This window comes from Homo sapiens, chromosome 5, assembly GCF_000001405.40.
Source record: "Homo sapiens chromosome 5, GRCh38.p14 Primary Assembly".
In the NCBI taxonomy this organism is placed as follows: domain Eukaryota; kingdom Metazoa; phylum Chordata; class Mammalia; order Primates; family Hominidae; genus Homo; species Homo sapiens.
The window spans coordinates 17,743,227-17,768,071 of record NC_000005.10 but is presented as its reverse complement, the minus strand read 5'-3'; the positions used below and the strand labels follow the sequence as shown (position 1 = coordinate 17,768,071).

The 24,845-nt window shown below is 40.6% G+C and overlaps 1 long non-coding RNA gene across 2 annotated transcripts in view; it reads right to left on the bottom strand.

Moving 5' to 3' along the window:
• Positions 1–24,272, bottom strand: part of LOC105374666 (uncharacterized) — a 41,940-nt gene extending 17,668 nt beyond the window's left edge. For both annotated transcript variants that reach the window (XR_925809.3, XR_001742615.2), the window contains exon 1: positions 24,059–24,272. This is a non-coding gene — a long non-coding RNA (uncharacterized LOC105374666). The remainder of the gene's footprint in view (positions 1–24,058) is intronic.
• Positions 24,273–24,845: the final 573 nt, after the last annotated feature.

Below are 24,845 nucleotides of genomic sequence, written 5' to 3'. Positions count from 1 at the left end.
ATGGTGAGTACATAGAGAATGTCCCCTCTCCTGTCCATCAGCTGTCTCTGTCTCTGAAGTAAAACTACCTGCATGGCTGTGCCAGCCTAACATGCCCTGACCTTTCATGGAGGATAAGACTGTGAAAGTACAATCATAGTGCCAACAAGCAATTACAAACTTTAGAATCTAAAATGGCTCTTTAAATTTAAATTAATAAAATTTGAGATGGGGAGCAGTAGCTCATGACTGTAACCATCACCCCAGCACTTGGGGAGGCAAAGGTGGGAGGATTATATGAGGCGAGGAATTCAAGGCTAGCCCGGGCAGCATAGCAAGACCCCATCTCTACAAAAATTAAAAAATTAGGTGGGCATAGTGGCATGCACCTGTACCAGCTACTCAGGAGGCTAAGGTGGGAGGATGGCTTGAGCTCAGAAGTTTGAGGCTTCAGTGAGCTAGGATTGTACCACTGCACTCCAGCCTGGATGACAGAGTGAGACCCTGTCTCTATAATAAAATAAAAATAAAATTTGAAATTTGTTTGTCCAGTCACACTAGCCACATTTTAAGGGCTCAGTAGCCACAGATGGCTTATGGCTCCTGTGTTGGGCAGTGCAGCTTAGAACATTCCCATCAACACAGAGTTCTATGTGACAACCCTAGACCAGACAACTCTTATCAAATGAGAGAAATCCCAGCTCCTCTCCATCCAGAGTGTCTCATACACTCCATGTTTTCCATTCCAGAAGTCCCCTTACTTGATTTTTATTCTGTTCTAGTGTTGATTTCCTGTCTTCAATCTCTTTGCCATATTAATCATAGAACAGTAAGTTTAGCTATAGAGGCAAATTTAATGACATTTGTTCCAACACCATTATCTTGCAAATGAGGAAGTGTCAGCCTATTGAGGTAAAATGTACCCATTCATTCAATCAATATGTAGTTAGTGCCTACGTATTCTAGAAACTGAGAACAGACCAAACCCCAACCCTCATGGAGCATCAAACTGAATACAGGAACAAGCAATAAAATACAAACAAGAAAGGCATAAGGGTAGGAAGGAAAATAATTCAGGATGCGACAGAGAAAAGGATGAGTGCAAAAAAGAAGTAGTTGGAAGCAGTAGTTGTAGCTTCTCCATGGAGGGAGGCCAAAGAAAGATTCTCTGCAAAAGTGAGAATTGAAAGAAGGCCTGGGTATGTGAAAGAATCAGCCATGCAAAGGTCTCAGGTAAGAGCATCCCAAGCATATTCCAAACAGCAAGCAAAAGTCCATGGAGTCGGAATGAGCTTGGTATGTCCAAGAAGGAGAAATAAGAGCAGAGATGCTGGAGAAAAGTAGAAAGTGGGAAGTGAAGGGAGGTGAGGTTTGAGAAATAGCCAAGGGCCAGTTCCTATAAGACCATAGATTAGTTATCTATTGCTGCATAACGAACTCCCCGCACGTGGCTTGAAACAGCATTAAGTATCTCACAGTTGCCATAGCTCAGAAATCTGGTGCAGTTGGGCTGGATCCTGCTTACTGAATCTGCTACCTCCTCTGTTCTGTTTTTTGCCCTCACCTCCTCCTTCTATCCCTGCAATCAAGGTAATGGCCAGGGTCGTGATCATCCGAAGACTCAACTCAGTGGATCCAGAGGATCCACTTTCAAGTTTTGTTACCAAGATTCAAATTCTTGGGGGCTGTTAGACTGAGGATTTCAGTTCTTTGCCGGCCAGAAGCAACCCTCGGTTTCTTGTCTTGTGGGCCTCTCCAAGATGGCAGCTTACTTCATCAAAGTGAGCAAACAGAGAAGTTCAGAGGCCTCTAGCAAGAGGGAAGTTGTGGTCTTTTGTATCCTAATCATAGAAGTGAAGTGCCATCATTTCTTCCTTATTCTACTTGTTAGAGCACATGAGGAGGTCTAACCCACACACTGCAGGAGGGACATACACAGGAACATGAGTAAGAGGAGCCAGGGATCATTGGAGTACATCTTAGATGTCTACCCAGCAAAGGTCACATGGCCCATAGGAAGTTGACTTTTACCTAAGTGTCATTGGGAGGCCAAGAATGGTGGCACAAGCCTGTAATCCCAGCATTTCAGGAGTCAAGGCAGGAGGATCACTTGAGTCCAGGAGTTTGAGACTAGCCTGGGCAACATAATGAAATCCTATTTCCACATAAAAAAAATTAGCCAGGTATGATGGCACACCCCTGTAGTCCCAGCTACTTGAAGAGCTGAGGTTGAAGGATCATTTGAGCCTGAGAGGTTGAGGCTGTAGTGAGCCATGATGGCATCACTGTACTCCAGCCTGGGTAACAGAGCAACACCATGTCTCAAAATATGGTCAAAAACAAAAACAAAACAAATAAACACAAAAAAAGTCCCACACCAACAACAACCCAGTGATTAGGAGATATTGGGAAGCTTCAATCAGGGAACTGACATGATCTGATCTTCAACTCAGGACTTGGTGGTTATATGTGGAAGAGATAGATGCAGAGGGCCACTGTGGAAATAGGAAGACCCACAGAGGCTACTCCGATTGTTCTTTGATATGTGATGGAGCTAAGAAAACAGTGAGATGCTGTCAAGTTTGAGATCCACTCTAAAAGTAGAACCTACAGTGTTTGCTTATGAGTTGCATATGGAGGTGAGAGAAAAAGACAGGGACCCTAACAAAAAGGCTAAACTAGCTGAATCAGTCTCCACAGAAAGCCTTCCCTGGAAAATCCTCCAAGAAAGAGACTTCATGTTTCCTTGCACTTTCTTTCTCCCTGCATCTCTTCTGACACTTCTCTGATATCTTCACAAGTCATTTTATATTGTTGATGCTTAGGAAAATCTAGAATTTCCACTTTTTAATATGCTGGAACAGGTACTCACGTGCTAAAACTGTAGGGAAAGTGGGATACAAAAATAGTTGTCATTATTTATTACCAAAGATATGATACTGTCTTTTTAAATATGCATCCCAGTTTTTCAAACTCACCAGTATATTTAACATGTGCTCTTTGTTCCTATTTTTATGTAAAAATGGAAATACTTTTATTCTCTTAAACAAAAAAATGCGAATAAGAAGAGAAAAGGAAATGATTTTAGCAGAACATTAGGAGGCTGGCTGCACATTTTTAATGTTTGGGCATCAATAACAAATTGCTGTACTCTGAACTCACAGCATGGATACGATATTAGCTCTTCCAGGGAGAGTCTGACTTATTGCACATATGTCCTCTGAAACCACTAAGAGCTCAACAGGATAAACAGGGTAGTATACATGTTTTATGCGCCTTTTTTATTTACTCCAGGTTTTGTCTTAGGCTAAATCTGTGTGTAGCCAAATACCAAACAAACAAAACTCAAATGGCTCATGGTTAATACAAAACAATGCAGTTTTTCTTCTCAAGTTTGAATAATTAATCCAGATTGCTTCATGACTAAAGCAACCGATGCCATCTTTGCCCTAAGCAAAATATGATTTCGCTTTAGAGTTCACTTACTTTCACTTCATGCCCCTCTCTTTGATCTCTCCCACCCACTCCTTAAACACAAGGTTCTATCTTCAATGTGTGTTTCTTACGGGGAATAGGATCTCCTAGGCACAGTCAAGATTCACAGAAAAGAGATATCCCACAGAGCCTGAGTTTTCCCATCACTCATCCTTGATGTTACACCCTACAGGTAACCTCTGCACGTACTAGAAGCATGACATGCTCCATTTTATAAGGGTCAACATGAGCACTCATTCAATATCAGTGATAATACCTGTGTTTATTCTAACAAAAGTCAAATTTTTGAGTTTTAAGAAAGTACATTTTTCCTAATTCTCATATCTTTTCAAAAAATGCTTCACATAAAAATTTCTGATGATTTCAAGAATATGTCTGCATTTCTTTAGAAAGAGAGAGAGAGGGAGAGGGAGAAAGAGAATATGAATTAACAAGTTGGGAACACTGAAATGAAGATAGGAGAGTGACTTTAGGTTTAGCCTTAAAGGGCCCATGGTGAGACCTGACTATTCAGTCCAAAATTTGCCAACTCAAAACTATATCCATATGTGTTTGATCCCAGGATATGGCTATGAATAAGGAGCTTGTCTTAGTCCATCTTGTGTTGCTATAACAAAATACCACAGACTAAGCAATTTATTTAAAAAAAAAAAAAGAAAGAAAAAGAAATTTACTTCTTAGAGTTCTGGGGATTAAGAAATCCAAGGCTGAGGGTCTGGCATCTGGTGAGGGTCTTCTTGCTGCATCATCCCATGGTAGAAAGTAGATGAAAAAGAATGTGGGAGAAAGAGAAAGAGAGCAAGAGAGGACAGAACTCACCTTTAGAACAAGCTCATTCTCAAGATAACTAATCCACTCCACAATAATAACGTGTGTCTGTTCATGAGGACAGAGCCCTCATGACTTAATCACCTATTACTGGGCCCCACCTCCCAATACTGTTGCATTGGGGATTAAACTTCAATACATGCACTTTGAAGGAAACATTCAAACTACAATACAGCACAAGCACAAAGAGGTGGGATGATGTGCCTCAAGTCAGACTTAGGAAAAAGTATGAATAATACAGACCTCCTGCCTACCAGACTTGTGTTTCCAAGTGACTCACAAAGACTTAGAACCACAGTAGAGAGGCTGCTTCAAAGTTAGTTGCTTTCACATCAGTGCCAGGAAGGACTCTTCAAAGCATACGCATCCTTATTTTTAACAGATTCCTTCAGAAAGTAAAACTCATACTTTCCTAGCAAATTAAACCCTGTTTCTTCTATCAATAAAACCACACCAAAAACCTGTCCTATAAATTTATCTTGGGTCTAGTGCTTGCTGTGGCTAAGGAGAGGGTTCAAGAATTACTGTGCTGCTGAGCAAAGCCTGGGAGATTAATTAGGAAGGATGCCAAGAAAATATCTCAGCCTATGTTCTAATCTCTCAGCAATCACTTCTCTCAGAACTGTTGCAGGCCTTGCCACACACCAGCCTCCATGTCAGGCTGACCTGGGCCTGAAGCCCACCTGTCATAAAGCAAAGTAAATGTAGTAATATATTACAGAGTGTTGCAAGATGTCTCATTGGTTTGGTTGGGTGGGTTGGGGAAGGAGTGGTTGCTGGTGGTATCTCTACCAGATTGTCACATTCCTGAGGACAGGAATCAACCCTGATACCTCCTTGTAACCTATCTATTGTACTCACCACATGATAAGTGCTCTTTGCCTTGTTTTTGAATGAATCTGTTCTATTCTTCAGCTTCTAGAGCTGTGCTGCCATTGACATTGCCTGGCTTACACCACTGTGTTGCCACAGCATCTGTAGGTCTCTCAGTTTCTACTTTTATGGACTCTGGACAGCCCATCTAGCTGAAATCCTTGATATTTTAGTCTTGATGCCAAGTCCCTGCCTGTAGTCTGTTGAAACACAGGGTTTTTCTTTAACCCCCATTGTGTTAAAGAATTTTTAGATCAACTGTCTAGCTGCCTCTCAGCACTTATGGATTTAGTTCCTGAATTGATCAGCTCAATCTGCAGCACACCTTGTTCCTTGTCATATTGTCCCATCTTCCAAATCACCTGACCTTGCTACCTGTCTGTTATTTACATTCTTATTTTTTCTGTTTGACTTAAAACCCATTCTCTTGTGATTCTCAGCCATCTGATTTGCTTTCTTAACCTGACTTTTGCCTTCCCTCTGGGGCTGGCATTTTCATAATCACCCTCACAGCCAAGGTGTCCCAACTCAATCTGTCCTCCCCTCCCTACAGTCTTCCCTGGGCGCAGCCAACCAGTAGTTCTGGACATGAAAAGGGAACCTGTGCACCTTCTGCATTGTCCCCTGCAGCCTCTTATCTGTTAGGTGTGGTTTGGTCTCCCAGCTGCCATGGTCCACTTCATCTTAACATGTTTCTCTGCTTTACAACCTTCAGTGTGACTGGAAGGCTCTTCCAATGACCTCTTTTTAAAAAAATTAGATTTAGTTACTTGCTGTCAAAATCCTGACAAAGAAAAAAATAGTCAAATAGCCTCATTCACTGGATATTTAAGAAAACCATCAGCTCAATTTATGCAATTCAGAATAAAGCAATAGCTCACTGTTTGCTGTCAGCCACTGTTTACCTACAGAAGGTAGAAAAACATAGTAATATATTTTTATTAGTTGTATGTTTTTCTGTAAAGAGTACAATACAGTGGATGTAATGACCCATGACATTAAGAGTTTGTTCAGTTGCTTGCTTGTACACTAAGGGCTCCAAGTCTAAATTTTATATTCCCTATAGAAGCCTCAAAATTAACCCAGACATGGACACTGTCCAGATGCTGTTCTATTTATTTGTTTTATTTATTTTTTATTTGTAGCACAGTACAAAACAGATGAGGATATTTTTGTTCTCAGTTAATTTTGAAATCACTCCGGAAAATATTATATATTGTTTCTTTGCATTGTTAAGAGGCTGCTCTGCTGGTTTGAAAGAGACAAAAGACATCTCCTAGTGAACACTGCCCTCCTCAAGGGGAAAGCTCTACTGTCTAACAGCTATTTTAAGACGTTGAAGATGCATTACCACAGGCTGCAATTACCCTGTGAATCCCAATTTGAATTGAAGTATCATCTCTCAAGGGCGTAATCCTAGGGTCACATTTCCTTTTCCAAAAGAACTAAACCATCTCTTTGACTATTAAGGCCGCTGCAGGCAATCTCATACAATCAAAGTTCCTCTTCATCTTTAAGTAAATAAAATTATCTTTAAAAATGGACAATTTGAAATTTACAAAAACAGTAACCAACAGCGATAACATGAGCAAATCATCCACACCAAGAAAAACTTCACTAATTATGCTCAAATATTGAAAAAAAAATGACATTTACTCATACAGATCCTTAAAGCATCACACTATGTGGCACTAAAAAATTATAGGAATATAGCTAAGATTTTTAAAACTTTGAATGGGCTTTTAAAAACCAATAACATCATGTCTTTATGCAACAATTACTGTTAACTATATTTGTCTTCTTCTAAATTAATGTCCCTAATGCTTGATGCCTTTTTCAGTCGATGGGACAGAATCTCGAGACCTGAAATATCCTGTCCTTATTCATGGTCTTTATTCCCTTCAAGAAAGACCACAGAAGACTCTAGCTGCATATGTGGTTTGTCCAGTCATGCTGTGTTTATAGCCTCAGAGACAGGCATGCACATTAAGCACAATTTGGCATCTTATTTTGATTTTGCCCTGAAGTTAAATAACAAATTTATAGGATGCCAGAATAAGTATCTCCTCTGTTTAAATTCTCTTCTTCGTTTCTTCTATTTCCTCATCTATAGCAAAGGTTAATCAATTTTGCTAAAAGGAAAGACTAAACAATAGCTCTCAAAATGAAATGATCAGAAATTATCACTTTTTCAAAGATGAAGCAATGGAGAAACTTAGAAACAGATGATTTACCTGTGTCTTCTGATTGCCAAGATTGATTCATTCTGATCCTTTCATGTTCTGCCAGTTCCCTGTAACTAAGAGTGTTTACTTGAATGATGCCATTTTTCACAACCTCACAGCCACTACCTGAGGTCAGGTGATCACCCTCTTCCTCTTCCCTGTGGCATCTTCTTAACTGGCTTCCCAGTCCCTACTCTTGCTCCAGATTTGCACCTGGCCACCCATTCTCAATTCTTCAGCCAAGATGAGAACTTTAAACTCTCACCACTTTATGGAGCCTTTCAAATTCTAACCCCTACTGGTACTGGCATCCTCATCATTCCTTACTCCCTGTTTGGTAATCCAAGCTCTAGAAATAACTGCAATTCTTTCTGCTCCTAGAACACACCATGTTCTCTCTCCCCTGCAGATGTGCAGACATTGTACTCTGGCCTGCCTAAACACCATCCCCTCTCCTCATTTCTTGGTTAACCCTTTCACACATGTGAAGTCTCAGCATAATTTTCATTTTTCCTCCATGCTTTTCTAGATCTTCATTTCTCACATGACAGATTCTATGCTGAGATGTATGAGAGATGTATTTTTTTCTATCACAGTACTTATCACATTTTAAGTGATGGGCTTAATATTCTCTTCTCCATATGAAAGCAGGGCCATGCCTACCTTGCTCACCATTATATAACAAGGATACAACTGAATAGCAGCAGAATAAGTGACTGGTTGACTAACCGGGTGGAAAAATAGATAGATAGATAGATAGATAGATAGATAGATAGATAGATAGATAGATAATAGGTAGAAGATATACAGATAGATGAATAAATGGATGAATAGATTTTTTTTAATGTGTGGACTTAGGATGGCTATCGGAGAGAAAGACAGAGAAGACTGAACTTGCAACTGGCCTTGCTAGCATCAATACATCTTAAAAACCATTCCATTGACTTCTGTTCACAGTAATTTGATTCAGGATATATTCATCACACACAAAGAAAAAAATGTTTAGAATTTCATATATATAACCAGGTTTTAAAGAAATGATTTTAAAATACCCATTTGTGTATTCATCCAGGTATATGACAGACACTAGTCTAGTCCTACAGGATAATGAGAAGAAATTTACTTTCTTCCCTTAAGGAGTTTAAAATCTAGGGAGAAGAGTGTACTATGCAATAAACTTTTTGCCATAATAATATTGTGTTGTCTTTAAAAAATCATTTTTGAAAATTGCCCTTAAAAAGACCCAAAGAATTTTAAAAATGATTGTGAATGGAAAAACAACACTTTAAACTTAAAAATTGAACATATTTCTAATTTGCCATATATTCAATCTTATGAATTCTATAAAGATTAAATACAGCATACCCACATGAGAAAAATAGCAAAATATACATGGAGGAAGCAGGTCTAAGACCTGGGACCTGGGAAAAAACGACCTAAGGAGGGTGGAGAGCAGAGACTTACCTAAATAGATACTTTCTTGTGGTGGGCCAAGCAAAACATTCCATCATGCTTTCCGGAAGGAGGTGAACCCTATCACACAATATATGGAAACCAGGACCTAGAGGAAGTGGCCTTGCCATTTTGGGATAATGGATGGATGGTGCTTCCCAGTGGTGAGGGGAAGGTCTTAGTTTCCCCCCCCAAAAAAAAAAAAAAAAAAGCTCAGGGAAATGGTCCTGTAGTGAGTGCTACAGAGCGAATCCACACAGAGCCAAACTGCCCAGAATTATCTCATGAGGGCGTGGTGGCATGTGCCTGAGTCCCAGCTACTCGGGAGGCTGAGGTAGGAGAACTGCTTTAACCTGAGGTTGAACCCGGGAGGCAGAGGTTGCAGTGAGCTGATATCACACCACTGCACTCTAGTCTGGGCGAAAGAGTGAGACTTCATCTGGAAATAATAATAATTAATTAACTAATGATTTGTAAATGCATCTTTATAGAAATAAAAACATATATTAACTTAAATAATAGATCTCATGACTATTGATTATGTTATCCAAGAAAGAAGTCTTCAATGTGTTGTAAAAGTTTATTGCAAGGCTCACATGAAACAGAAAATTCTGACGTAAATACCAGATTATGCTGAGAGCATTCAGTTATTTGCATTATCAATGGAATGTCTGGAAGTTTGAGATGAATTGAAATTGGCCATACAAGTGAGAAACAGCTTCACTAACATTGACAATCACTGAAGGGTGAAAATGACCTGAATTTCTGGAAAAGAAGGTCATACTTAATGATTCCCTATTAGCTGACTCCTATCTTATACAATTATCCAGAGGCAGCTACAGATACAGAAAATACTAGGTATAGTTCAACAATTACCACTCTCAGGTGAAAAGCATTTCATGTTGCATGGTTCCTTCATTTAAACAGGTTTTTAATTCCAAGAGATACAAAGACAAAGCTAAAAAAAGCAGTCTCTAAGAATTCCACCCCAATTAGCCATACCAAGATGCCACATGACTACATGCTATAAAGTAATTAAGTCTATCGTATTTACACAGCCACTTAATGCATAGGAAAAGAAGGGGACAAATGACCTCCAACCAAAGTTTTTTTTTTTTTTTTTGCCATGACCATGTACACATTTCAAGTGCTTTGTCCTCTTAGGCATGAACTGATGACAACTAAACATTAAAATAAGTACAGATTACTTAATTCATCTTCACCCCCATCAACAAATGGATAATGGAAACGCATTGAAATTTCTGCAAATATGAAAATTGCATGCCTATTGAGGCCAAATGTGAGAGGTTAATATCCCAAAGCAAATTAAGACACCCTAAGGAACTTAATGTTTCTAATTATTATATTATCCATCCTTGACACAAATTATTCAAATATGCTCTTTTAACTTGTTTTTGATAGTTTTTACCTATGGTTTTTATGCATATCTGAAAACTTAATGACTCCATGTCAAGCCAGGCCAACCTGAAAAGTTTCTAGCAAATTATTAATTTTAATGCAGGTTTTCTGGCAGACCAGCGCAGGAATGCACACCACTATTTACGAATGTGAGGGCTTTGTTGCCCTACTTCCCAAACAAGTCCATACCTGAAATCCAAGAGAATTCCCAAATAAATGCCACCATTATGATACAGATAACCAGGGATCATGTGTTTTACAAGAGTTTGCAATTGTAATCATTTTATCCTGATGACCCAGTAGAATCTTTTAAACTAAGAATTTTCATTTCCATTTCAAGCGCAAGACAGAGAAAGGAATAAAATTATATTTCTTCATGGGGACCAGCTTAGGCTAGAAGTTTACCCACTGGGTATTTGAATTGTAAATTTTTCCAGGCTATGACAGATGCCTGAGGATTTTACTGTAGAATTGGATCCATGAGACCAAGGAAATATCAGAGTATAAAATTGCAGGGATCCCAGGTAGATGCTTCTTGTTGTGGACCCGTTTGCAAATGTGAATAAGTATTCACTGGTTCTTAGATTTTACATTTCCATACCACTACCCTCTTTCTCTTTAAGTATTACACCTACAGTTCAAAACCTAGATGAGAAAAAGAAATTATAGACCACTTTAAGGAAAGATGTGCCTGATCCTCCAAGTCAGAAATGGAAAGGTCTTATTCTGAGCACATTGCCCCAAGCTATCCCTCCAGACTTGAGTAGCCAGTGTCTCACCCCACAGGATTTTCCTACCATTTTTATCTGTAGTTCCATGTGCCAAACTATTCTTGTAGACTTGTTTCATCTCCATTTTCTTGGATTCTCCAATTTGGGGGTGTAATGTGTTATTAAATGCCACTTTTCCTGCTTCAATGTAATCCCTCTGAAGTGAAGCACAAAACAACTCCAAGTCCGCCTCTATTTCGAAGAGAGATGCTAGTCTAAACCATTCCTTCAGGATTTTCCAAAAGATTGCAGAAAGTAGTCCCAAGTTGGTCTTTCCAGCATTAGCCGGTTGCTGACCTCAGCCTAAAAAAAAAAGACTGAAGAACTAACACTTCTACAGTATGAGTTGTCAGTGAGCCATATTGCTACCCACACACATCCCCAAGGAAGGGGAGATGGCACTTCCCCTCAACCTGAAGCCAAGAGAAAGTGACTTACAGAGACTTAAGGAAATTGAGATCCAGAAAAAAGAGGGAATGCACTGATTCAAGCTGCACTTTGACCCCAGGGAGGCTTGTCAAAGTCCAAACATGAGCTCTGTTAGAGGAAAACCTTAACACAGATCCCACGAAGAGGTCTACCTGGAGAGGCGAATGGACTCCAACAAAGGAGTGGCCATGGGAACCCAGGAGCAGAGGTGTCAGGGTCATGGGTGGCCAGCCCAGGAAAGATACTGTCCTCATCAGATGGGAAGCAGCCAGGAGGAAGTGGCACCAAGGAATCCACCAAAGCCTTGTCTAAGAGAAAAGGAGGCCGTGTGAGACTATTTGCTGTGCCCAGCAGCCACTCACACCAGATTGCTGTTCATCTGCCACTTGTGACTATCCCCTAAGCCCAGCCTTAGACACATCAAGGACAGAAGCCATCCAGAGGAGGAAGGGAGCATAGACAACAGAAGCTGGCAGTGCCTCCGGAAATCTTCATAACTTGATTTGGACTCCAGCTGGCAGAGAATACATGATGAGTTTGGGGTTTGATATTATACCACACAACACTGGGATTATGCAATTATCATACAGACTGAATGCTTTTGTGCTGAAAGCATTCTGAGGCAGGGGTGGACTCAGGTTTTTTCAGTCCTGGGTTAATCACTTTGAGGACTCTCTTCAATAAAAAAAACATGAAACTGTGATTTTAAAAGCAGGAATAGAGCCTTGGAAGAGCCCCACACAAACGGAGAACCCTGAATCATTCTCCCAGGTTAGGGAATGAGACTCTTTTCCAACTTCATTGCCTTTCATTGTAAGGATTCTGGCTTAGAAATAACATTGCTAGGAGGAGCCAAGATGGCCGAATAAGAACAGCTCCAGTCTACAGCTCCCAGCATGAGTGACGCAGAAGACGGGTGATTTCTGCATTTCCATCTGAGGTACCGGGTTCATCTCACTAGGGAGTGCCAGACAGTGGGCACAGGACAGTGGGTGCAGCGCACCGTGCGCCAGCCAAAGCAGGGCAAGGCATTGCCTCACTCGGGAAGTGCAAGGGGTCAGGGAGTTCCCTTTCCTGGTCAAAGAAAGGGGTGACAGACGGCACCTGGAAAATAGGGTCACTCCCACCCGAATACTGCACTTTTCCAACGGGCTTAGGAAAGGGTGCACCAGGAGATTATATCCCGCACATGGCTCAGAGGGTCCTACGCCCAAGGAGTCTCACTGATTGCTAGCACAGCAGTCTGAGATCAAACTGCAAGGCGGCAGCGAGGCTGGGGGAGGGGTGCCCGCCATTGCCCAGGCTTGCTTAGGTAAACAAAGCAGCCGGGAAGCTCAAACTGGGTGGAGCCCACCACAGCTCAAGGAGGCCTGCCTGCCTCTGTAGGCTCCACCTCTGGGGGCAGGGCACAGACAAACAAAAAGACAGCAGTAACCTCTGCAGACTTAAATGTCCCTGTCTGACAGCTTTGAAGAGAGCAGTGGTTCTCCCAGCACGCAGCTGGAGATCTGAGAACGTGCAGACTGCCTCCTCAAGTGGGTCCCTGACCCCTGACCCCCGAGCAGCCTAATTGGGAGGTACCCCCCAGTAGGGGCAGACTGACACCTCACACGGCCGGGTACTCCTCTAAGACAAAACTTCCAGAGGAAAGATCAGACAGCAGCATTCGCGGTTCACGAAAATCCACTGTTCTGCAGACATCGCTGCTGATACCCAGGCAAACAGGGTCTGGAGTGGACGTCTAGCAAACTCCAACAGACCTGCAGCTGAGGGTCCTGTCTGTTAGAAGGAAAACTAACAAACAGAAAGGACATCCACACCAAAAACCCATCTGTACATCACCATCATCAAAGACCAAAAGTAGATAAAACCACAAAGATGGGGAAAAAACAGAGCAGAAAAACTGGAAACTCTAAAAAGCAGAGCGCCTCTCCTCCTCCAAAGGAACACAGTTCCTCACCAGCAATGGAACAAAGCTGGACGGAGAATGACTTTGACGAGTTGAGAGAAGAAGGCTTCAGACGATCAAACTACTCCGAGCTACAGGGGGAAATTCAAACCAAAGGCAAAGAAGTTGAAAGCTTTGAAAAAAATTTAGACAAATGTATAGCTAGAATAACCAATACAGAGAAGTGCTTAAAGGAGCTGATGGAGCAGAAAGCCAAGGCTCGAGAACTACGTGAAGAATGCAGAAGCCTCAGGAGCTGATGCGATCAACTGGAAGAAAGGTTATCAGTGATGGAAGATGAAATGAATGAAATGAAGCGAGAAGGGAAGTTTAGAGAAAAAAGAATAAAAAGAAACGAACAAAGCCTCCAAGAAATATGGGACTATGTGAAAAGACCAAATCTACGTCTGATTGGCGTACCTGAAAGTGACGGGGCGAATGGAACCAAGTTGGAAAACACTCTGCAGGATATTATCCAGGAGAACTTCCCCAATCTAGCAAGGCAGGCCAACATTCAGTTTCAGGAAATACAGAGAATGCCACAAAGATACCCCTCGAGAAGAGCAACTCCAAGACACATAACTGTCAGATTCACCAAAGTTGAAATGAAGGAAAAAATGTTAAGGGCAGCCAGAGAGAAAGGTTGGGTTACCCACAAAGGGAAGCCCATCAGACTAACACCAGATCTCTTGGCAGAAACTCTACAAGCCAGAAGAGAGTGGGGGCCAATATTCAACATTCTTAAAGAAAAGAATTTTCAACCCAGAATTTCATATCCTGCCAAACTAAGCTTCATAAGTGAAGGAGAAATAAAATCCTTTACAGACAAGCAAATGCTGAGATTTTGTCACCACCAGGCCTGCCCTAAAAGAGCTCCTGAAGGAAGCACTAAACATGGAAAGGAACAACCAGTACCAGCCACTGCAAAATCATGCCAAAATGTAAAGACCATCGAGACTAGGAAGAAACTGCATCAACTAACGAGCAAAATCACCAGCTAACATCATAATGCCAGAATCAAATTCACACATAACAATATTAACTTTAAATGTAAATGGACTAAATGCTCCAATTAAAAGATACAGACTGGCAAATTGGATAAACAGTCAAGACCCATCAGTGTGCTGTATTCAGGAAACCCATCTCACCTGCAGAGACACACATAGGCTCAAAATGAAAGGATGGAGGAAGATCTACCAAGCTAATGGAGAACAAAAAAAGGCAGGGGTTGCAATCCTAGTCTCTGATAAAACAGACTTTAAACCAACAAAGATCAAAAGAGACAAAGAAGGCCATTACATAATGGTAAAGGGATCAATTCAACAAGAAGAGCTAACTATCCTAAATATATATGCACCCAATACAGGAGCACCCAGATTCATAAAGCAAGTCCTGAGTGACCTACAAAGAGACTTAGACTCCCACACAATAATAATGGGAGACTTTAACACCCCACTCTCAACATTAGACAGATCAACGAGACGGAAAGTTAACAAGGACACCCAGGAATTGAACTCAGCTCTGCACCAAGAGGACCTAATAAACATCTACAGAACTCTCCACCCCAAATCAACAGAATATACATTTTTTTCAGCACCACACCACACCTATTCCAAAATTGACCACATAGTTGGAAGTAAAGCTCTCTTCAGTAAATGTAAAAGAACAGAAATTATAACAAACTGTCTCTCAGACCACAGTGCAATCAAACTAGAACTCAGGATTAAGAAACTCACTCAAAACCACTCAACTACATGGAAACTGAACAACCTGCTCCTGAATGACTACTGGGTACATAACGAAATGAAGGCAGAAATAAAGATGTTCTTTGAAACCAACGAGAACAAAGACACAACATACCAGAATCTCCGGGACACATTCAAAGCAGTGTATAGAGGGAAATTTATAGCACTAAATGCCCACAAGAGAAAGCAGGAAAGATCCAAAATTGACACCCTAACATCACAATTAAAAGAACTAGAAAAGCAAGATCAAACACATTCAAAAGCTAGCAGAAGGCAAGAAATAACTAAAATGAGAGCAGAACTGAAGGAAATAGAGACACAAAAAACCCTTCAAAAAATTAATGAATCCAGGAGCTGGTTTTTTGAAAGGATCAACAAAATTGATAGACCGCTAGCAAGACTAATAAAGAAAAAAAGAGAGAAGAATCAAATAGATGCAATAAAAAATGATAAAGGGGATATCACCACCGATCCCACAGAAATACAAACTACCATCAGAGAATACTACAAACACCTCTATGCAAATAAACTAGAAAATCTAGAAGAAATGGATAAATTCCTCAACACATACACTCTCCCAAGACTAAAGCAGGAAGAAGTTGAATCTCTGAATAGACCAATAACAGGATCTGAAATTGTGGCAATAATCAATAGCTTACCAACCAAAAAGAGTCCAGGACCAGATGGATTCACAGCCGAATTCTACCAGAGGTAAAAGGAGGAACTGGTACCATTCCTTCTGAAACTATTCCAATCAATAGAAAAAGAGGGAATCCTCCCTAACTCATTTTATGAGGCCAGCATCATCCTGATACCAAAGCCAGGCAGAGACACAACCAAAAAAGAGAATTTTAGACCAATATCCTTGATGAACATTGATGCAAAAATCCTCAATAAAATACTGGCAAACCGAATCCAGCAGCACATCAAAAAGCTTATCCACCATGATCAAGTGGGCTTCATCCCTGGGATGCAAGGCTGGTTCAATATATGCAAATCAATAAATGTAATCCAGCATATAAACAGAACCAAAGACAAAAACCACATGATTATCGCAATAGATGCAGAAAAGGCCTTTGACAAAATTCAACAACCCTTCATGCTAAAAACTCTCAATAAATTAGGTATTGATGGGACATATCTCAAAATAATAAGAGCTATCTATGACAAACCCACAGCCAATATCATACTGAATGGGCAAAAATTGGAAGCATTCCCTTTGAAAACTGGCACAAGACAGGGATGCCCTCTCTCACCACTCCTATTCAACATAGTGTTGGAAGTTCTGGCCAGGGCAATTAGGCAGGAGAAGGAAATAAAGGCTATTCAATTAGGAAAAGATGAAGTCAAATTGTCCCTGTTTGCAGATGACATGACTGTATATCTAGAAAACCCCATTGTCTCAGCCCAAAATCTCCTTAAGCTGATAAGCAACTTCAGCAAAGTCTCAGGATACAAAATCAGTGTACAAAAATCACAAGCATTCTTATACACCAATAACAGACAAACAGAGAGCCAAATCATGAGTGAATTCGCATTCACAATTGCTTCAAAGAGAATAAAATACCTAGGAATCCACCTTACAAGGGACGTGAAAGACCTCTTCAAGGAGAACTACAAACCACTGCTCAATGAAATAAAAGAGGATACAAACAAATGGAAGAACATTCCATGCTCATGAGTAGGAAGAATCAATATCGTGAAAATGGCCATACTGCCCAAGGTAATTTATAGATTCAATGCCATCCCCATCAAACTACCAATGACTTTCTTCACAGAATTGGAAAAAACTAATTTAAAGTTCATATGGAACCAAAAAAGAGCCCACATCGCCAAGTCAATCCTAAGCCAAAAGAACAAAGCTGGAGGCATCACGCTACCTGACTTCAAACTATACTACAAGGCTACAGTAACCAAAACAGCATGGTACTGGTACCAAAACAGAGATATAGATCAATGGAACAGAACAGAGCCCTCAGAAATAATGCCACATATCTACAACTATCTGATCTTTGACAAACCTGAGAAAAACAAGCAATGGGGAAAGGATTACCTATTTAATAAATGGTGCTGGGAAAACTGGCTAGCCTAATGCAGAAAGCTGAAACTGGATCCCTTCCTTACACCTTATACAAAAATTAATTCAAGATGGATTAAAGACTTAAATGTTAGACCTAAAACCATAAAAACCCTAGAAGAAAACCTAGGCATTACCATTCAGGACATAGGCATGGGCAAGGACTTCATGTCTAAAACACCAAAAGCAATGGCAACAAAAGCCAAAATTGACAAATGGGATCTAATTAAACTAAAGAGCTTCTGCACAGCCAAAGAAACTACCATCAGAGTGAACAGGCAACCTACAAAATGGGAGAAAATTTTTGCAACCTACTCATCTGACAAAGGGCTAATATCCAGAATCTACAATGAATTCAAACAAATTTACAAGAAAAAAACAAACAACCCCATCAAAAAGTGGGCAAAGGATATGAACAGACACTTCTCAAAAGAAGACATTTATGCAGCCAAAAGACACATGAAAAAATGCTCATCATCACTGGTCATCAGAGAAATGCAAATCAAAACCACAATGAGATACCATCTCACACCAGTTAGAATGGTGATCATCAAAAAGTCAGGAAACAGCAGGTGCTGGAGAGGATGTGGAGAAATAGGAACACTTTTACACTGTTGGTGGGACTGTAAACTAGTTCAACCGTTGTGGAAGTCAGTGTGGCGATTCCTCAGGGATCTAGAACTAGAAATACCATTTGACCCTGCCATCCCATTACTGGGTATATACCCAAAGGACTATAAATCATGCTGCTATAAAGACACATGCACACGTATGTTTATTGCGGCACTATTCACAATAGCAAAGACTTGGAACCAACCCAAATGTCCAACAATGATAGACTGGATTAAGAAAATGTGGCACATATACACCATGGAATATTATGCAGCCATAAAAAATGATGAGTTCATGTCCTTTGTAGGGACATGTATGAAATTGGAAATCATCATTCTCAGTAAACTATCACAAGGACAAAAAACCAAACACCACATGTTCTCACTCATAGATGGGAATTGAACAATGAGAACAGATGGACACAGGAAGGGGAACATCACACTCTGGGGACTGTTGTGGGGTGGGGGGAGGGGGGAGGGATAGCATTAGGAGATATACCTAATGCTAAATGATGAGTTAATGGGTGCAGCACACCAGCATGGCACATGTATGCATATGTAACTAACCTGCACATTGTGCACATGTACCCTAAAACTTAAAGTATAATAATAATAAAAAATAAAAAATAAAAAAAAGAAATAACATTGCTACAGAGGAAAACATTTTACTAAAAACCTAATTACCAAGAGGCTATAGACACTTATTATTGGGATATATATTTTTTAATTTATTTATACATTTAATACACACATATATATTATATATAACATGCATTATGTGAGTGCATAATTTTACATGTATTATATAAAATTTTAAAATAACTGTGGCTTTTAAGTCAAATATAAATTCATTAGCTTAACTTGTTAAGCAGTCTTCATTTAGTGGTTAGATATTGCAGATGAAATCTTCATCAGTTGTCACCAATGACCAATAATAATCCCAATCTAGAACACTTAGCATGCAATTACTATCAAAATTATGTGCCTGTTCTTCATATGAGTTGACATATTTTGAGGATCTCCTAACTTCTTGACAGCTTCCTCCGTTGGTAGTTTCATAACTCCATCATTAACTTTCCCCAAAGAATCTAAAGTTCTCCTTCTCTCACCACCCCACCCCTACCCCTGCCAAAACTCTTTTCCTATTTAGTAATGGCCTTCTCAGAAAACCTCAAACAAATGTTTAATGTAGAGCAAATGGGCCCCTTACTATGGTACCAGACTATCTGGGGGCCTGTATGAGCCTTCAAGTTCATACTGTGTCCTTCCAATAGGGAAAACAATTAGGCAATTCAGTAGTGGAAAAGAGTGAAGTTACTGATGTCGTTGCGTTATCTAAATAAGTGTTGATTATACAGATTTTTCTCAGTTTTCAACTGGTTGTTCATACTGCAGAAAAATGAGAGACATAAGATTATTTTATTGAACTATAATCATCAATCATCCTAGTTACAAATACAGATGATTTTCAAGGCTTAAAAAAGATATTCAAGGGAAAGTATTCAACATCCCCCCATCCTGTGTTCTATCAGCTCTCTTTGTAGGTTTCCACCAAACCTACACCCCTCCCTTCCCCACACCACTCTTTTAGGTAAGATTCTGCATTTACCAACTTAGAAAGGACAATTTACATTTAGAAAGTGGAGCCATGTAGAAAAAGAGAAAAAGGAAAAGTGGAAGTTAACGCAAGATCCAAACTCCTGAACCTGCTGTTCCAGTAACTATAAACCCTCTATGGTGTTGATTTCTAACCTTTCTGTCTCTGAGTGCCATCTGCTAACTTTCTAGCTCACTCTCTCTGGAGTTTCAGTGATTATGTAATCCTGCCAATTATTATTCATTCTTCCTCATTCCCCTGACCTCACCCTTTCTTTCTCTCATCAGCTTTAACCCTGATCAACCAACATCACCCCTCTCCTGAATGGGCCCTCACTCCCATGCCCGTTTCTTTGTGATATTTGTCTGAGCAAACTACACCCTCTTATTCCATGGCTGCCCCTGTGTGGCTGAACATGGATGAAAGAAAACACAACTGTTCTAGCTGGTTTTGACTTACGAGTACAATCACTCACCGCCAAGTGATCCTTCCATGCTGAATTTGTAAAGGGGTTCTAAGGGGCTGCTCCTCATTTATTAATGACATAGAGGTTTCTCTAACCAAAGTGTAGTACCCCTCCTCTTTGGAACAGTTGTCTGACTTGTGGCACCTCCCTTCAAGTGCCCCGTCACCAGCAGAAGAGCTACTGCATTGGCCTGCGGATGCCTTGCCCATCATAGAGGACATTCAACCTGTTCATGAATGGCTCCGTAGCACTGCATGCTTCTGGGGACGATGCAGACAGGGCATGAACCTCACATGATTGCATTTATCCTGAATGTCTGTCTTGAACTTGTCTATGCTGAGCACAGGAGACAGCAATACAGAGAATAGGCCTCCTGCAGGATCTCATGGTTAAAGGGGACCTCCCTGCTCCAGAGGCCTTGACGTACTCCAAGAAAAGCTTCATGGAGCTACTATGTCTCCCCAGAACAAACTCCCCCACTATACTGAGTGACCATTTCATTCTGGCTTTTCTCTTATTACACTTCCAAAACTCCCTAACAATCCTCACTCTCGGCCAACAACTTTGATTCCTACCTCTCTGAGAAATGTAAGCAGAATGAGTGACAATTTCTCAAGCTCCCACGACAGGTCGATGCCCACCTACCTGCGTCCAAGTCCAAACCCTGCCCCTTGTCTTCTTCACTGAGCTCCAGCTCTCCTTGGCCTGTGCTGTAGTTCCCAGCCTTTCATGCCCACTCAAGGTCACTCAAGGTCATTGCTCTGGCAATTCTCCCTTTTTCTTCGGAGTCATCATTTCCTCCTCTTTACTAGATGAAAACTGTTAGCCTATGAACATTTCTCCCAGACCAGAGTGAATGCATACGGCAAAAAACTCTCTCCTGGCTCTGCTTTCCTTTCTAGCTATCCCTTTCTCTCTTTTCCTCAATAACAAAACTCTTTGAAAATGGCCTTTTATAACTCACTGTCTCCAATTTTTGTCCTTCTTTTCTAACAAACCCTCTCGAATCATAATTGGTCTCTATCACTCATTGAAACTGCTCTTCTCAAGGTTACTAATGGTCTCCATATCACTAACTCCAACGATCATTTTTTAGTACTCATCAGACTTTACCTATCAAAAGCATCAACCCACCTGATTACACTTGGGTCCTGGAAACACTTTCATCCCTGGGCCTCCAGATCAGTAAACTTACATTGTTTTCCATCTCTCTGGCTGCTCCTTCTTGTCTCCTTTGTGCTCCTTTTCTTCACCCCATTTCTAAATGTTGGCATTTCTGAGCCTCAATCTTTGTATCTCTTCCCTATGCTGTCTTCACTCACTCCCTTAGGGACTTCAGCCAGTCCCATGGCATAAAACACCACCTACATTCTGATGAGTCCCATGTTAAAATCTCCTGCTCAGACTCGTCTCCAAAATCCAGACCCAAACTTATATATCCAGCTACCTACCTGACCTATCCATTTGAGTATATAGGGGACATCTCCTACTTAATACGTTCATAGCTGATCTCCTGGTTTTCCTTCTCAAACCAACTCACCCTCAGCCTTTGCTCTCATCAGTAATGGCTATTCCACTCTTTCTTTATCTATTTCATGTAGTCTATCATAAAGCAATCCCAGCTGAGTGCAGTAGCTCACGCCTACAATCCTAGAACTTTGGGAGGCAGAGGTGGGAGGATCACTTTAGATCAGGAGTTTGAGACTGACCTGCACGACATAGTGAGACCTCATCTCTACAAAGAAAATTAAAAAAAAATAAATTAGCCAGATGTGATCACACATGCACCTGTAGTCCCAGCTACTTGGGAGGCTGAGGTGGGAGGATTGCTTAAGCCCAACAGGACAAAGCTGCAGTGAGCCATGATCATGCCACTGCACTCCTGCCTGGGCAACAGAGCAATACCCTGTCTCAAAAAAAAAAAAAAATCCCACTGATACAATCTTCAACATATATTCAGGATTCTTCTACTTCTACTTCGCATCCCTCCCATTACCATAACTCTATGATCCAAAACATCATTGATTCTCTTCTGAATTATGATACACATTTCCTCATGGAGTTTTCTGCCTCTGCACTTTCCTCTCTTCAGTCTCTTCTCAATTCAGTGCTTGTAGAACACAATCGGATCATGGGACTCTTTCACTCAGAAATTCTCAAACGCCTCAATCTTATGCTGAATAAAGGGAGAAGCCTTTCTGTTATGTGTATACTCATACACATTCTCTGGCCCTTTCTCCTACTAACTTCTTCCTTGTACCTTGTCCTTCAATCAGACAAGCCCCATTTTTCAGCCTTGAAGATGCCAGAATTTCTCCAAACACAAATTGTAGGTTCTTGCCATTCCCTCAGCCTGGAATGTTCTTCCTTGTATGCCTGTATGGCTTGCTTCTTCACTTTCTTAACGTTTCTACTAAAAATCCCCTCCTCAGGAAGACTTCACTAGCCACCACCTCCTCCAGCAGACATCAAAGACTCTCTGTCGGTTCTTATCATTTATAAGCGTCTGACATATTACATATTTTACTTATCATCTGCCTTTTTATTGCCTACTTTTTCCACAGGGTGAAGGGCAGAGGATCATGAGAACTAGAACTGCTTCTCTGTTTTATCCACAAATGTATCCTCATCAATCAAAATGAGTGTTCATGGATTGTAGATGTTCAATAAATCTATGTTGCTATTTATTGGGTTTGGAGAAGGTTTGGGTTGGGATTGGAGTTTGGGATTGGAATGGGGTTTGTTTGGGGTTACAGAGGGGAGGATACGGAGAATGGTTTCTCAGCAGTCAGAGGAATGGAGAGATATTGGTAGAGAAAGGAACTGAGAAGGGGATTTTTAGATGTTACTGCAGTGTAAAAGTTAGTTTCCCTCCAACTTGCTTAACAATATCAACTTGATTGCTTTTAATTAATTTTTATGACCAGACTATACTTCTATTAATGTTATCTATTCAGACACCATACTACTTAGAGCCAGGTTTCTGAATTAAATAATATACAATTTGAACAGTTTACTTTTGTGTATTGAAAGTATAGTTTTTCTCATTAAAAGAAATTTCAAATAATCCTTGCTGCTAAGCTTTGTTCTTTTAACCTCTGCGCAACCTTAACTCAGAATTTAACCCTATTCACCAGCCTCTGTAAGAAATTCAGTTGCATGGAGAATATGATGATTTGTGCAGGATTGTTGAAGGTTCAGTTCAACAGATCCCTAGGATTCCACACACACACACACAAATCTCCATCTAACCGTCCCTTTTTTCCATCCCCAGCCATTGTCTGTCCTTACCCTGTAAAACAGTGCACCCCCTTCCTGTTCTTTCTCCCTCCCTTATGATAACAAGAGACCCTCTTTTTTCCCCCTGAAACCTGGATTTAGAGACCATCATCAGGATTTTTTTTTAACTAATGTAAAATTCACTAAAATGGCATTATTCACAGGCAAAAGGTACATTGAAGAATTAAATTAAAGCACAAATTTACCTTGAGGAATAACCCATCATAGGAAAAAAAAAGAAGACATAATGGCCCCTCAGCCAAAAACTTAATCCACTGTGTAAAAATTAAATAAATGTCACTTATTGTTAGAAGGAACCATCCTGGAAATATGTACTAGTTTCCTTTGTTTAAAATTTAAGTTTCTTAAATTCATGAAAGTTACAAAACTAAAATTCTAATACGAAAGCAGAAGCAAAATAAGCTGAAGTTTACTAAGAATAACCAACCAACTTAAAAGGCTGGTTATCAATAAGATAGGTAATAAATATGAGCCAAAACCATTTTCAAAAAGTAATAAGATAATCCCTGAAGGAGTGATGGTCTTGCTGTGTTGCCACCGCAAAGCAGAGCCTTGGAGTCCAGGATAGCCCTCAGCCAAGATGAGTCAGTGCAAAAGCTTTTCCATTTTACCCAGAAAAGCTTGACTCCTGAATCTCATGGAAGTGCCAGAATCAACATAAAGGAGCTGAATTTTCCAATCCTGAACAGGAGGAGAAGTTCCTGTTAACCAGAAACTTCAGTTACTCAGAAACCAAGAAGAAACTCTGGAAATAAGGGAGCTTTTTCTCCGCATAGTCGCCCAGTTAGTTGTTGTGTTACACATAGATATGCTGTTGAACCCCTGTGGCCTTAGTGTGACTTACCCACTTTAAAAATTCCTGTCTTCTCTTTTCAGGCAGAGCCATTTAGCTTCCTCTTGCCTCGACCTTGCCTAAGTAGACTAGCCTGGACATACTCTCTTGATTAACTGAAAAGCCCCACGGATGAGGAATCTCAGAAAGAGCTACTTCACTGAGATGGAGTGTGCCGCTCTCTGGACTCAGGAGCAGCTAGAATTAGTATTCATTTTTGCTCACTAGCTAGCAACTTTAATTTCTGCCACTCAAGTATGCAGTGCTTTCTATGACGTGGTGACTACTTTAAACAGAAATGCAGCCCATTTAAAGTGGTAGCATCAGATGAATCACTCAGATGTGTGCTGAAAGAACATGTGAGAGTTCAGGAAGGAAGATCAGGGCTGCAGAGCCACAAAAAGCCCTCATTACGGGATGAACAGAAAGGTACTTAGAATGGTGTGATTGCCATTGGCAAAAAAAAAAAAAAAAATCCTAGGCGGCTTGAGCAAAAAGAGAAATACATTAATCCATGGAATTAATGGAGCACTTATAATAAGAAGCCTGGAGTGGGATTAGGGTACAGGTGGGAATTCTGTGGACTTGGACTACATGAGATTCTCCCTGCTCCTTATTTCTGCATCTTTGTGCATATCAGCTTCATTTTCCCTCTCCACAACTCGTGTCCACACAGCAAGACCCATAGGCCCTGACAGCTCATGTCTGCAACTCCTTTCTCCTGACTCCTCAATATGAGTTTAAGTAATAGACCTGTAATGCCAATCCTGAATAATAAAAGCTGCTTTACAAAGTCTGG